This window comes from Homo sapiens, chromosome 6 (assembly GCF_000001405.40).
Source record: "Homo sapiens chromosome 6, GRCh38.p14 Primary Assembly".
Lineage (NCBI taxonomy): Eukaryota > Metazoa > Chordata > Mammalia > Primates > Hominidae > Homo > Homo sapiens.
In genome coordinates, this window is record NC_000006.12 from 146395103 (window position 1) to 146411562 (window position 16460).

Sequence of the window (16460 nt, forward strand, 5' to 3'; positions counted from 1 at the left end):
AGGCTCCCAAACCATAGAGAGCAGAGACCTTTTAGTTGGTTTACTGAAAGATCCATAATTATGTTGATTTGGGTTATTTACTTTTTAACTCTATCTGGAAATGTCAAGCCACATATTAGACATTTTCTAAATTGGTAATTTTAAATTATAACTGTTTTTTCCTCATTTGATTCAACTAATTCAGGAGGTCTAAGCCTACCTACAGAGGGAGAGAATATGGTCCTTTTTAAGTTAGTTGTTGAGTCTATTTCAGAACTATTTGAAAGTTTCCTAAAGTTTTTTCTTCATCTTTATTTAGTTTACAACTTTGAATATTTATTGAAAGAAAAGCTTCTGAAAGTGCTTTATGCAATGCCTTTTCTATTTTTCTTTTTTAAATGTTACACCACTGGGTTACTTTAATCTTCTCTTTTCTGCTCTTGCATTTAAACATTTTTCTCCATCAAAGGCTAATAATTAATTGAATTAATTGGTACATACTTGTAGTATGGACAATAAGTATCTAATAAAATTTCCAAATTCTATAGCAAACATTATGTTCTGTATTCATGAAGTTTAGGAAAATTATTAACTATAGGTCTTAATTTGGCTTTATACCAGTTTCTTTAATTCAACTTCTATAGATCTGACTTGTGTTCTAGAAAGTTTAAAATGTTATACTATTTTCTGGTAAAATCTCTGATGACAGAGTATTTCATTTAGAGAGTCAGGTAAAGTTGCATAGAAAAAGAATGAAATGAAAAGAAGGTAGCATTCAGAAGGTTACCAAAGCCTTGACAAAAATCATCTTTGAATTGGAAAATTTGTTTGCAGGATGACAGCTAAAGAAACTGACAATTCACTGTGGTATTTTATCTCCTAATTTGTCTAGAGCTCCTTGTAAATATTTTAATTTATTGATTTCATCATAAATTAGTTCCCATATGGCCAATGTTATTTTAAATATCTATTTTCCTACCTATCCATCATCTATCTATCTATCTATCTATCTATCTATCTATCGTCTATATATATATATTTATCATCTATGTATCATCTGTCTTGCCTGCATTGGGAAAACAAAAATAAAATTAGGATTAGTATGTGACTTTATATAGGAAGAATAAGTTCTTCCAGAAAAAGGTTTGTATTTAGACAGAGACAAATCTCTGATACACAAGGAAGAGAGGCCACTAAGTTCTGTCAAAAGTGTGTGCTTGCCAATGGTGTCTTAGATTCCCAAAGCAAACGGAGTGTAGGAAGGCAACACACAATCACTAAAATAAAGTGATCTTTCATAAGTTGACAACACGGGAAGTATTCTTGTAAAGGTTTTCTAAGAAACCTAAGGCTGAGTGACCTACCACTTTTGGCAAATTGGTTATCAATTTAAAGGAGCTCCAAACATTAGCACTCAGGGCCAGCTTGGATTGGACACTTCTTAGGCTTACATGTTCCTCTAATGTTTATGAACTATCCCTTATATTGTCAACAGAAAAAGGTGATTCAAAACAAAACAAACACACAAACAAAACAGAAAAATATGGTTCAAAACGAAACAAACACACAAACAAAAAAGACCCATAAAATAAGACTTTGTGTATGTATGTAAATAACAGCAAAAGCAAAGAAACAGCAAGGGAATAAACAGATATGGAAAAAAATATTTATCAAATTGTGTATCTCTAAAGTGAACTATTTATTGACATAATAAAAAGCTTATGTCTAATTACCAAATGGTGCATTTCAAAACCAAAGGTTATATGACTTAATATATAAAGATACAGGTGAAATAACCTTACACAAAGACCTAAGTTTAAGTGCCTTCTATATAAAGACCTACATGATTACAAATCCTAGGACAACTACATAAATTCAGCAACAAGAGCTCAGTAAAATTAGCCAGAGTGAGAAAATTATTGAGAATGACTCTCATGCTAGTACATGGGAAGGACAGAATGCGGGCACGAGGGGGTCCAGTGAGTGACCCTGTTGATCAGAGCATCTCCTGGAATGTTATCAAATAAGGAGTCTTCAAAATTATCTTGGTGAAGCCTCTAGAAATATGAAACATGGTGAGACTAAATACATAAAATTTTTTTTAAAAAGCACAAAAGCTGGCTGGGTGTGGTGGCTCATGCCTGTAGTCCCAGCACTTTGGGAGGCCGAGGCAGGCTGATCAGGAGATCGAGAACATCCTGGCTAACACAGTGAAACCCCGTCTCTAGTAAAAATACAAAAAATTAGCCGGGCATGGTGGCGGGTGCCTGTAGCCCCAGCTACTCGGGAGACTGAGGCAGGAGAATGGCGTGAATCCAGGAGGCGGAGCTTGCAGTGAGCTGAGATTGCGCCACTGCACTCCAGCCTGGGCAACAGAGTGAGACCCCGTCTCAAAAAAAAAAGAAAAAAAAAAAAAAAAAAAAAGCACAAAAGCTAAACAAATTGCTTACTATAGTAAGGGATAGTTATGCTAGGCAGATACATTTTCTCTGAGCAGAAGACTATTCATTTTATATGGAGTTTTTAGAAAGTGTGGAGTTTAGGGATTGAAAACCTTGCAGCTTCTGAGAGCTGGTTGACATCACCTGTAGCAATACGATTACTCACATGAGACTGTTGATTAGTTGGCACTCATTTATTGAAGTGATTCTGATCCTGCCTGAGTGATTATCAGAAGTAAGGGCTGACAGTGCTTGCTTGGCATCCAAACACATGTTCACTGAGGCAAGTTGTTGATTGACTGACAGGTTTAGCACTGGTTCTGGTGGTTCCTTGTTGCCATGGCTACAGAACAATGAGTCTTTTCCTAAATTTATGGAAATGACTTTATTCTCACAATTTGGGAAATATTGGCCCAGACCAAATATTTTGTGATTACAAAATTCTGTGAAGGGGTTGTCCCAGAGCCTGACAAATTTTTCTCTCACTCTGAAATACAAAATACATTTTATTCTCCATCTAGAAGGAAAAGATAAGCCAGGAATTTAGGAACAAATTCTAGTCTTTCCTTTCAAGAGATGGGTTAGGGGAGATTTCATTCTTCCTGGATATGTCCACTAGAGGTTACTAACTCAAAGGCCCTCAGGTTTCAGATACAGATCATTCATGATTCATGAGAAGAGTGAGATTTAAGGTATAATATAGAGTTATGCAGGAAACAGGAGAATGCAGATTCTTCTAAAGAAGTCCATGAAATTTACATTGAAAACACTCTGCTGGCCAAAAACGACTTGTCTATGAGCTGGACTTGCCTACAGACAATGGCTGCATCAAAAGAAAAGTTTTGTTAGTTTATTTCTTAATAATTTATTCTATCCCATTATCACCATTTAACCCTCACTGGAAATAAAGTTTTATTTGGGTGTTTTCTTTTTCTGAACATGTAGAACCGAGTCCCATTCACAGAATGACATCTATTTATAATGCTGATGTTGGAAGAAAAGATCATTTTTATAGGTTCAAGTATGTCACATTAGGCTTGTAATAAGATTAAGTTTGGGGACATAATTGTCCAGGTAAGACAATGATGTATCTTTATTTGTGTAATAGTGTGCATTTTTAAAAAAGCATTAAATGCTGTAAATCATGAAGGATGCAAAGATGACTGTGTCTCTGGTAATTAATAGGCAAGTTGTTATTCCTAGCAGAAACCTTGGATTCATGCTCAAATGATTTTTCTCATCACAGGCTGTGAGCCCATTCCTGTGCGCTATCTTGAGTGGAGCAACATCGAATCCATTATAGCCATCGCCTTTTCATGCCTGGGAATCCTTGTTACCTTGTTTGTCACCCTAATCTTTGTACTGTACCGGGACACACCAGTGGTCAAATCCTCCAGTCGGGAGCTCTGCTACATCATCCTAGCTGGCATCTTCCTTGGTTATGTGTGCCCATTCACTCTCATTGCCAAACCTACTACCACCTCCTGCTACCTCCAGCGCCTCTTGGTTGGCCTCTCCTCTGCGATGTGCTACTCTGCTTTAGTGACTAAAACCAATCGTATTGCACGCATCCTGGCTGGCAGCAAGAAGAAGATCTGCACCCGGAAGCCCAGGTTCATGAGTGCCTGGGCTCAGGTGATCATTGCCTCAATTCTGATTAGTGTGCAACTAACCCTGGTGGTAACCCTGATCATCATGGAACCCCCTATGCCCATTCTGTCCTACCCAAGTATCAAGGAAGTCTACCTTATCTGCAATACCAGCAACCTGGGTGTGGTGGCCCCTTTGGGCTACAATGGACTCCTCATCATGAGCTGTACCTACTATGCCTTCAAGACCCGCAACGTGCCCGCCAACTTCAACGAGGCCAAATATATCGCGTTCACCATGTACACCACCTGTATCATCTGGCTAGCTTTTGTGCCCATTTACTTTGGGAGCAACTACAAGATCATCACAACTTGCTTTGCAGTGAGTCTCAGTGTAACAGTGGCTCTGGGGTGCATGTTCACTCCCAAGATGTACATCATTATTGCCAAGCCTGAGAGGAATGTCCGCAGTGCCTTCACCACCTCTGATGTTGTCCGCATGCATGTTGGCGATGGCAAGCTGCCCTGCCGCTCCAACACTTTCCTCAACATCTTCCGAAGAAAGAAGGCAGGGGCAGGGAATGCCAAGTGAGTTATCTGACCTGTTTGTCTCTCTTTTCTCTTCCTTTCTCTGTCTCTTTCTCTCTCTCTCTCTCTCTCTCTTTCTCTGTCTCTCATATCTTCCTCTAGTTTTCTGAGTTGTCTCTTCCATTTCCCCCATGTCTTTCTCTTCCTTTCTTAATCTTTTCTCCCTTTCTTAAATCTCACATTCTGTTGCAGTAAGAATGCAGAACTGAGGCTCCTCCCTGTTTTCATTTCTTTGAAAGAAAAGGAGCAGGAAACAATCTTTATTCTTGCCTAGAAGCGGAAGCTTCGGTTCTGCCAGTAACTTACCCTTTCGCATGGGACCTCCTTCTATGGAGCATCATTTTGCCCCTGGGGGCTGGGTCAGAGAGGCAAGCACTAATTATAATGTCTAGTTCTGACCATGGTGAAAGTAGCTTCTGGTTTATTTTTATCATTCCGGAATCACACCACTTCTAAACCGGGGTGAAAGGGAGGAAAACTTAGCACCTGGAGAAATTGCCATTTCAAAATTTGATCACTACTGAGCACCAAGTATGTCCTAAAATAAGATCCTGCAAGCAACTGACTTATCATATCTCTCTTATTTATTGAACTGGAATGTACATTGTAATAAACATGTTCCACGATGTTATACATGAATTGGGTCATCTCTGCTACTGCAAAGTCATGATCAGAATAGTTTCTTAGTCATAAAGCACCAAAAAATAAAAAAAAATAAAAAAAGGGAACCAGGTGATAAGCCCCAATCTTGAGACTTTGTGTGAACATTAAAGTCCAGATGAATTCCAGATGAATTCTATTCAAAGTCCAGATGAATTATATTTCTATAATTCTTCTGAGTTGTTTTTATAATAAGCACTTTCCTATCCTTTTTCTATTTTGAGAAGAAGCATATGTTAAATTTGCATATGTCACCTCTTTCTGTGACCCATGAAAACAAATTTCATGTAACGTTTTTTATTTCAAAAATAGCACGGATGCTTGAAGTTCTAAAGGTAACCGAAGTATCCAAAGATTAAGTCATTTTCTCCACCAGCAGCATTAATTTCACTCTTTCAAACAATCCTTTAAAAATAAAAAGTTTTAATAATAATCATGATAAGGTACACATTGTTAATAATCATTCCATCCATCTGAACCTGTCAGCAGGAACATTATTTCCCCCTATTTTGTAGGTGAGAAAAGTACTCTGCTGTAAATTTTTATAACTTGTATTTATTTATTATTATTATTTTCTTAATCCCAAATGTGATAGTAGAATTTTTGTAACTTTTCAATGTAATTCCCCTTAGTTATTCTTTATTTAGATCTTAAATGATATGATACTTCTCACTTTAACACATGCCAAAAATTCTACATCCTTTAAATTTCTTGGTTTTTGTATCTTTACTTTCCAAGAAGCAACGTGGGCATCTTTTGCAGAATTTATATACTTTGAGGATCTAACAAGGGAGTCTTTGGGAAAACATATCTTTGAAATCCATTTTATGGATTTCAAGTAAAGACATCCCTAATTTTCTCAAAACTAGGATGAAGCCAATAATGTACGCTTACTTCTTGGTATATCAATTTTTAAGTTTGTTATAGGATGTTGATCATAAAAGTGGTTAGCCTTTTTTTTCCTCTTACCATGTTTTTTTTATTCTAGCCAAACTCCCCTCAGGAGCAAACTCCTGGCAGGGAGTTATCAGGGAGCATGAAAGCAAACCAACAGTGCCACGAAATGGGAAAAAATAATTAGACAATTAGTCCAGATGTAAAATGGCATCACTAACAATTTCCATTAAGAGGGAAGAAATAAGAGGAAAGAAAATGAAAAGAAAGAAGGCATTTCTTAAACTGGAGTGTTCACAAGGATTAAAAGATTCACTTTATTGCAACACCTATGGTTTTCTGAGGGCTCCATTACAACATCCACCATTATTCCACTCCATGTTTCTAATTACCTTGCCTTTATTATGGTTCTTCAGAAGCTTCCTTGTAATTTTTAGGTATGGGTCATTTTTGAAAGTTTTTCTTCTAACCATTTATGGTAAAGAGAAAACCTATATAATTAAGTTATCTTGTGTTGGTGCCCAGGAATATGCATTTTTGAAAGCTCTCCCAGTGATTCTATGTACAGACAGATATGGGCACCTGTTTAAGAGAACAGTGACTAATGAAGAGTATGTAGTGCCTGCTGCAGAGATGAGTTGGAGCTATCTGATGTCACATTAACAATGCTGAGTATTTCTCTCATGTCCAGGCATTGCTGCAAGAGATTACCTTCCCACACCTGGAACCACTTTCCTTATAAACTGAGAGCATTCCCTTCACTATTAGAAATTTAGAAATTAATTTCATGTGGGATCTTGCTTTTGAGAGAAAAATCAGCATGGTCTAAATTAACTGGATTGGTTGTCTAGGAAGTGCTGGTTTCATCAGTAAACTGTTGAACTATTAGCTGCAATTTATCAAGCATTATTACATTCATTTAATAAGAAATATATTTCTAATTAAAAGTTATAACCCGCAGCTTTCTGAGTACAACTTATACCTACTCCAATATGCACCAAGCAAATGAGCTGACCCAGAGAGGGTATTTGAGGCTAACCTTCTACGGAAAACAATCATCTGTTTACTCATTTTTCTCATTTGTTCTGCTGTTGCTCCTGTTGTAACTATGTGAGACTGTAATTTTAGTATATAAAAAAGAATCTCAATGCTATGTTTTTACCTTTTTATTGCCATTTTATATTTTCTTAGTTTGTCTCCAAAGTTACAAAAAGCACAAACAGTCTAATATTTTTACAGCAGCAAAAATCTGGTAGAGTTTTGCCAACTGAAGCAAAGGGGCTAAAAACTCTAGAGAACACATCACCCAATGAGTTTATTGCTATTCTAGATGTGTAATTCCTACATTTATGGTACACTGAGGGTGTTCAGCAGTCTGCATGTGTAGCTATAAACACAGAACAGATGCTGTAATGAAGAGCTTCCAACTGATCTATCTGTTTGAACATTGTTTTGAGGAGTTGCAAGTCCAACGGCATTCTCATGACAGGCTGTTTCTGAGATACGTGGTTGGAATGATGTTGCGTTGTCTGTTTTTAGCAAAGTTTACTTCAATTTTTTATTTTATTCACAGCTGAATATCTGACACAACCAAAGGTTTGGACACTTGCTTTACATTTTCTGGAATATAATATAGGAGGAGTTTAATCAATATACTGGGTGTTTGGGTTGCTTGAGTTATTTATAATCAGAAGTCCCTTCAGGCATACTTGTATCCTGGGAGATCAGCTGAAGTTACCTTTGACACCTCTCATTTCTTTAGCTTTTTAAAAAAATGAACATGAATGGAAAAATATGCAGGACTCAGTAGACTTTAAAATATTGAAAAAATCGATTTATTGGCAATAGAAGAAAATGAAAATCCCTGGACATTTATGAGGAAGTAAATTAATTAGATCCAAGTAATTTAACACTTCCTTTTAAAGAAAAATGAGTTAACATTATTCAACTGAAAAATTCAAATATCATATAAATGACATGCTTCTTTAAAAAGTAATTACATCAGTGATTACATGTCAATCTAACATCTCTAGTTAATTCCTAGATAAATAAAATCACTGAGTGCCAAACAATTTGATGGCACATGGAGCTAAAATGTGACAATACATTCCTATGATATTTTGCATGCAAAATTGTGTACAAAACTAAAAACAATTACAACCTTTCCTCCCTAAAGGCATCAGACTGACACAAGGAAGTAATTTTAAAATATAGGTTACTAAGTAAATGGATATTATTATATGCTACCTTGATTATTTCTTGAGTATTTGAGTTTTTTTTTAACTGAGTCAAGAACCAAGTGAAATTCTAAATGGAATGATGCTCAGAGGAAATTTTCCACTTTGTTCTCTGCTAGAAATATATTTTGTCCACCAGTAGAAGCAAATAAGCCTGCAGCATTAGTCATTATGTCCTGGGTAAGCATTTTGGTTTTCTTTCCTCTGATTATGAAAAGAAATGTATTAGTGAGTTTACAGATATCATGGCCAAATGGAAGTGGCGTGTTCTCCTCTTTTTTATTTTTGATACAGTTCTCATTTATGTCTATAGCTCTGCTAAATTTTTATTATTTTTAATTGACACATAATAACTATACCTATTTATAGGGTACACTGTAATATTTCAATACCTGAATGCCATGTGTAATGATCAAATCAGGGTAATTAGCACATCTATCATTTCAAACATTTATTATTTCTTAGTGTTGGGAATATTCAAAATTCTCTCTTCTAACTACTTGAACTATTGTTAACTATAGTCACTATACCCTAGTAGAACTTATTTGAAAGAACTCATTTACTATTCTGGCTCACAAACAGGATAATCTTGTCATTTTGTAATTATTTTTCTCTTAATCACACAATATATAGCTTTAAAAGCTACTGTAATTCTTCATGATATTTATAGTAAACATCAGAAGATTTATTGAAACATTTGTGATAGAATTTTACTACTGGATAGTAATATTTATTGAGGATCAATTTCTCATTCATTCATTTATGTAATCAATCATTGTTTCAACAGTAAGCTTAAAAGCACTTAGGTACTTGATATGGTGCTAGGTAGTCAAGATAAAATATATATATATAAGAGGCAGGCCCTGACTGCACCAATCTTGCAATATGGGAAGGGAGACACTAAAAAATATAACTAAATGTACTGTGCTATGTGCCATAGTAGAAAACCAATATAACATTCTCAGTGCCCAGGGAAGAAAGAGATTAAGTCCAGTTAATGGAGTAGTATCTGTAGAAGGATTGGAAAGATCTTCGAGTAAAAGTAGCATTTGAACTTGACCATAAAGCATGTTTTTCAACTGGAGAAATTGTGCTATGCTAGACTATTTTATATAGAGAAAATAACATAAGTGAAGATTCAGAAATGTTAATGCACTTTCATGCCACGATGTAGAGTTTGTTATGCATGAAGCACGTAGAGAGATGTAGTGTTGGGCAACTTTGCAAATGCAAGAAGAGTATAGAATATAGATAATGGTTAATGTACCAAGAGGAAGTTTCAGTACTTTTTCTATAAATCACAAGGTGCAATAAAGGTTTTTGTGAAGTTTCATCATCATGTATAAGCTTTAGGGGAAGAAACTGACTTATAGAAAGACCAGTTAATAGAGTGCCACAGTAATCCAATAACAGGTAAAAATAAAAGCCTTAAACTAGAGCAGTAAAGTTGAATCCAAGACATGCATATGAAAAAGTTTTCTGAGCTTAATTCACTAGACTTGAAATACCAGTTATGCGAGCTGAAAGAAATAATAAGAAAATAGGACTCTTATGATTTGAGCCCAAGTGAAATACTGCTACTATTAAAACAGATAAGGAATACAGGAACAGGACAGAGGAGATATTGACAAGATGGGTTTCAGATTAATTAATTGAAAGTGCTATAAAGTCATCCAAAGGGAGGTATCCATAAGATTCTTAGAAATTTAAGTCTGGAGCTTAAGAGAAAGGTCTAGGCCAGACCTCTAGATTTGAAGATCAATTGTCAAAATATTTAAAGTGCCCAAGAGGGTGGTTATGACATGAGAAAAGAAGAAATACCGGGAAGAACAAACATTAGGGAACTCTTACACTTAAGAGATAACATAAGGAAAATCTGAAGGCAGTAGACAAAGGTTATCAAAAAGAATGTGGGAAATAAAAGGATGCAATATTATGGAAACCAAGGAGACCTTGTATTAATGCGCTCAGGTTGTCAAAACAAAATACCACCAACTGAGCTGCTGAAATAAAAGATGTGTATTTTCTCACAGTTCCGGAGGCTGAAAATCAAGATCAGGATGCCAACATGGTTTGTTTCTGGTGAAGGCTTTCCCATTGAGTCACAGACAGCCACCATCTTGCTGTGTGCTCACATGACTTCTTCTTTGGGAGATAGAGGATATAGATAGCAATGATAGAGACAGCGAGACAGCTCTGTTGTGTTTTTTTGTTTGTTTGTTTGTTTGTTTTTTACATGGGCACTAATCCCATCCTAGGAGCCCCATCCTTATGACTTCATCTAAACCTAATTACCCAAAGTCTCCATCTCCAAAACATTCTCTATTAGGGCTTCAATAGATGAATTTTGGGGAGAATGACTCATATATTCAGTCAATAACAGAATGTTTCAATAAGATAGAACTTGAGGTCTTATCCTTGGAATCACCAAGGATGGGGACTGTATGGTTAACCTTGAGAGGTTTCAGTGCTATAATCTGGGTAGAAGTTATACTGCAATAAGTTGAGGAGTTTGGCATTAAAAGAAGTAGGAAATTCCGACAGTATTTAAGGAGGTTGAAGAAGAGGGAGGAAGGGTATCATAGAGGAGAACTTTAAGCTTCTTTGTAATATCTGAGAAAAGAGGTGACAAAGAAGGAAAAGTTGGAAACATAAGAGAGAGATCATCTGGTGTGTGCCGGGAGGCCTGGCCGAGAGCTAGGCTGTTAGCAGAGCCATCTGACATTAATGGAGAACTATGACAATGAAGCACCAACTCTGAGGATGTTTGTGGGTGACACTGGTTCTCACTCACCTGTGTTGATGTGTAATGGTTGGTATTAACATAGTATGAAAAATCAGGCTGGGAACTTATCATCATTTTTATTAAAATTTGAAAATAAACCCCATCCTACTGATTTTATTGGGCCTCTGGACTTATAAACATTGACAGTAAGATTTGAGAAGGGACAAATGAGGGAAAGCCTGGAAAGGAAGGTGTGTTCTTCTGGAATTACTGATGGGCTGGAGCACTCTCAGCCTGTAAGTAGGTGCCCTTTGTAGAAGAAAGAAGGGTAGGCTGGGCATGGTAGCTCACGCCTATAGTCCTAGCATTTTGGGAGGCTGAGGTGGGTGAATCACCTGAGGTCAGGAGTTCAAGACCAGCCTGGACAACATGGCAAATCTCTGTCTCTACTAAACATGCAAAAATAAAATTAGCCAGGCGTGGTGGCATGCACCTGTAATCCCAGCTACTTGGGAGGCTGAGGCAGGAGAATAGCTTGAACCTAGGAGGCGAAGGTTGCAGTGAGCCAAGATCACACCACTGCACTCCAGCCTGGGCAACAAGAGCAAAACTCCATCTCCAAAACAACAACAAACAACAACAACAAAAAGAATAAAGGAGAAGGAGAAGAAGAAGAAAGAAGGGTATTGTGTATCCAGAGTTAGACTCAGTTGGGGATACAGCATGCACATCTGTTCTGTGTGATTGGAAAGAGTTAGAAATCCTTAGACCCATCCCTGACGGGTCATAGTGCCTAGGTGGCCAGCGCAAGGATATTTCGTTTGAGGTAAAGTCCTGTGCTCCTCAAAAAATCAGGCCAGAATGTTCTCACTTCCTGAAAGATGCCACACTTTTTCTTCACATGAAGGCCCTTAGAATACTTTAGAACGAACGTAGCTTAGTAAGTAAATGGTGTGTGGAGGACAATGCTGCTGCAGGAGACCACCTGGAAAGCCACATGCTCAAGTGCAAGGAAGGGGCGAATGGCCCCAGGATAATGGAGATGCACATTCCCTGTCCCCAGCCTGGTGCAGCAAATTTGCAGTCACCACCATTTCCTTGATTTTTCTCTTGCAAATAACACACTTGCTCCACAAATAACACAGAAATAGCTACTTTTAATACTTTTAATACTTATGGCTCATATTTTCAAGTTCTCACCTGAGACAGACCATGGGCACCTATTATGCTATATCTTCAAAGAGAACATAATTCCTTTTAAATATAGGTCATCTTTTATATTTCAGATTCAGATAAACTTGTATAGTCAATGCATATTCAAGTTCTGAAACTTAATATTTTATTCTCATATGTTAATGTGTAGTTTCTAAACTGAATCCATAAATATTCCCAGATAATTATGTGTAATGGCCCAAGGTGGGTACATTCATAACACCATCATGCAAATAAAGAATCTGAGGCTTGGAAAGCTCAATGCCATTTTTATAAGAGGAGTAAATGGGGCCAAAAATCATTGTTTTCTGGATAAAAATCACTTATTTTTATCATTCAGTGGCTCTCTAAGTTTGTTACCTCAATAATGTATTTATTATTCACGCATTAAATTCAATTAATAAGAGATAGAGCCCATTCCCAAAAAATTCATGGTATAACACGTGGTTACAATCTCATTGTGTGCATGAAATGATAAGAAACAGTATAATGTGGTGACTCATGTGAATGGGAAATTTCAGAGTCAGATGTTGTTTTTAGTCAGTTTGAACTGCTATAACTAAAATATCATAGACTGGGTGACTTAAGAGCAGAAATATATTGCTCACAGTTCTGGAGGCTGAGAAGTCCTAGATTAGGGTGCTAGCAGGTGAGGTCCTAGTGAGGGTCCTCTTCTGGTTTGAAGATGGCCATCTTCTCATTGTATCCTCACATGATAGAGAGCAGAGGAGGGAGGAAGCAAGCTCTCTCCTGTATCTTCATTAGGGCACTGATTCCTTCATGAGGGCACCACCCTCCTGATCTAATTATCTTCCAAAGGCCCTACCTCTTCATACTCTCACATTGGGAGATTTTAACATATGAGTTTTGGAAAACACAAACATTCAGCTCATAGCAGATGTCTATCGAGTCATCTGTTTTCTTTCAAATTACTAGTCCTTGGGCAAATTGCTTAACTTCTATGTGTTTCAGTTATAAAAATGGATAATAATAGTGCTTATCTCATAGGGTTCTGAGGAGGATAAAATGAGAAAATTTGTATAAAGAGCACAGCACAATACCTAAATAATTGAGAAAAATCTCAATAATTGTTAGCCCGTGACATTAAAATTATAAAAACATGGGAAGGTATATGAAAGTTCTTATACTATACTAACATAAAATTCGTAATTACCCCTTCAAGTAAAGAGAGTTCTAGAAACTGGGGATATGCCTTAGCCTTATGCATTCATTATATTCGTGCTATAAAAAATAGAGGAGCTGTAAGTCTGCTGGAAGTGGAGGCATGCTACTGTTACTCCGTGTGAGATGTGTGAAGAAGGACACCCTGTATGACACGGTTTGGCAACCTGTCCCTGCTTGGCCTCAGCTAAAGAAAGATGAGGTCATTTGCATCCCATCTGCTAGCCTTAGTGTCCAGTGTAAAGTGTTATCAACTTAAAAGTGAAGCAGACTGTGTGAACGTGTTGTAAAGCTAGTCCAGGAGCAAAAGTATTGAGAGTTTGGAGAATGAAGAAAATAAGAGAAAAGTCTCAGTGGGTTTGGAAGCTTCAGATCACAAGAATAGAGCCTAAAGGGTCATTAATTAGAATACTTTGGCTGCAAGTTATAGACGACAACTTAAGCTAGCCTAAGCAAATGGGGTGGGGTATTTAATGTAAAAATATAAGAAATAATATCAGGTATCTCATATGACATAGAAGACTGGGTCCAGAGTGGAAAGGCTCCAGGTTTCTGTCTTCTTGCCTCCTGTCTCGCCCTATGCCTTCTTCATCTTCTCCTCAGATATCTTTATTTCGTGAGCACGCATGGTGAGTCTAAGGATAACCATGCCAATGCTCATGAGTTCACATGTTATTATAGGTCCAGATACCCAAAGAGAATGACTGAATTCCCTCAACCCACAGGGTTCTGCATAGCACAGAGAGAAATACTGTCCATGGAGGGGGAAGAAAACTCCATGGCTCTGTTAGAGGATCCATTTGTTATGAAAGTTTGAGGTGTAGAGTCAACTAAGTTTAAAAGCCAGACCTTATCTTCACTTCTATTATATAGATTTCTGGCTATAAAATGCCTCTCCATTGCCTCGGGATGAAGACTAAGAAAAGACGAACATTAAGTTTTGTTTTTGTTTTGTTTTGTTTTGTTTTGCTTTGCTTTGTCTTATAAAGAAAATAGATCATTAGGACATTGTCTTCTGAGTTAATAAAAATACATTTTAAGTTACAGGACAACAATAAAATATTATTAACATTAGTTAATAGAATAAAAAAAGAAAATCAGTGAGTATTTAATCAAGTTAACAAAAAATGTACCTATAATAACATTTTATTTCAACAGAGTAAGGGAAGCCTTCTATAACTGAAGGCAACTTAATACTAGCCTCTATGCAAATTATCTGTAAGATATATGAGGAATTGGCTGCTAACAAAATTAGGCTGAGCCCCTAGGTGATGCTGCTCCAGGTAATGAAAAACAACTCTTTGAAAGAAATCAATAACAGTAGGAAATACTTTCCTTCCCCAAATTTTCCAGTTATAAAAATATATTCTCAAGTTACCATGCTCCTAGCAAATACCCTCAAATACTGTGGGAATTAATATCTTTTTCCACTTGATCAAACTTCATATTTCTCATATTATTTGGCTTAGATGGGTATGAAAAAATATAGACTTATGTAATAAAAGTACATTAAAAGAAATTATGATAGTGGAGTTGGAGTAGGGATGAGGGAGAACAGGGATGCTGTCAGCCAGTTCTGTGACTGTAGCTGTTGATTCCATTAGTGTCTTACTGCAAACTTGAAGTAAGGTTTTTATAATTCAGTCCTTAATTTAAAAAAAATACAGAGTCGACTATTTTGCAAACTGTGGACAATTTATTGGTAAAGAAAATAGCACAGTCTGTGATCTTTGCTTTGTCTTATAAAGAAAATAGATCATTAGGACATTGTCTTCTGAGTTAATAAAAATACATTATAAGTTACAGGACAACAATAAAATATGATTGTTAACATTAGTTAATAGAATAAAAAAAGAAAATCAGTGAGTATTTAATCAAGTTTGAGTGTAGGGGAGTAGAGGAATACCAGCAAGAAACCTGGCCACAACAATGTGACAAAGTGAAGTTCTACAACAGAGGAGGTAGGGAATGTTTGGGAGGCACCTAGAGGGCCTCTAGTAAAGGCCTTGGAGGTAGGGAAGGTCTACGAAGCTCTATGGACAATAGTTCCCATTAGCTAGACCAAGAAGGAGATTAAGAAAGAGGGGGTTAAGGTGGAGGAAGTGCAGAGAGCGTATTCTAGGCAGAGGGACCACGATGTAAAGAGATTTGGAGGCAAACAAGACCTCAGCTTATTAGGAAAATGAAGAAAAAAATAAAAGGTTTCAGTAGGGTTGGTATTCCTTATAAGGAATGTTTGTTTAGCTTCAAGTATGTGAAGCCAAAAGTTATTTCAGGGCTAATCCTAGTATAAAATCACTTTTGCTAGGATGGTTAGAATTATAGGCTTGGTTTCAAGGGCTGAAACATACCTCTTAAGATCCAGAAGATAAATACTGTTGACTCATTCATTCAATAAACAACTTTCAAGCACCTAATTGTGTCAGGCACTGGGACAACTGCAGTGGTGAACAAATAGATCTGGCTCCTGACTTTGTGGAAACTGAAATCTAGCTAGTAGACTGGGCATTGAACAAGACAATACAAGCATAGTGAGTGTTTCTATGAGAAGTACGGGTGTTATGGGAGTGTTATTAGAAGTCTCCAACCAGTCCAAGAATGCTGGAAATATTTCCAGGAAGCATTACCCTAGCTAAGATTTCTGAAGAAGGAGAAGCAGTTGGTTAGGAAAGGAAGAAGGCTGATGGATTAGAGCAGTCAGGGAATCTGGATGTAAAGACGGGAAAAAAAGCACTCACAGATGATGGAAATGAAGCAATTCCAGGATGCCTGGAGCAGAGGAAGTAAGAAGGAAAACAGTGAGACAAGACTGGACAGGCCTCTAGGGCCAGATTACTTAGAACTAGTTAGAGGAAGCCTTATGAGCTTGGACCTTATCTTCTGGACAATGAGAATCCACTCAGGTCACAGAGCAGTGTGCACTGTGATTGGTGAGATGTGTGTTTCAGAACTA

General features: G+C 37.0%; 1 protein-coding gene across 8 annotated transcripts in view; it reads left to right on the plus strand.

Annotated features, from left to right (window-relative positions):
- Positions 1–16460, plus strand: part of GRM1 (glutamate metabotropic receptor 1) — a 409895-nt gene that overhangs the window by 367396 nt on the left and 26039 nt on the right. For all 8 annotated transcript variants that reach the window (NM_001278065.2, XM_017010784.2, XM_011535782.2 and 5 more), the window contains one exon: positions 3667–4597. In NM_001278065.2, coding sequence (NP_001264994.1) covers positions 3667–4597 — 931 coding nt within the window. The remainder of the gene's footprint in view (positions 1–3666; positions 4598–16460) is intronic.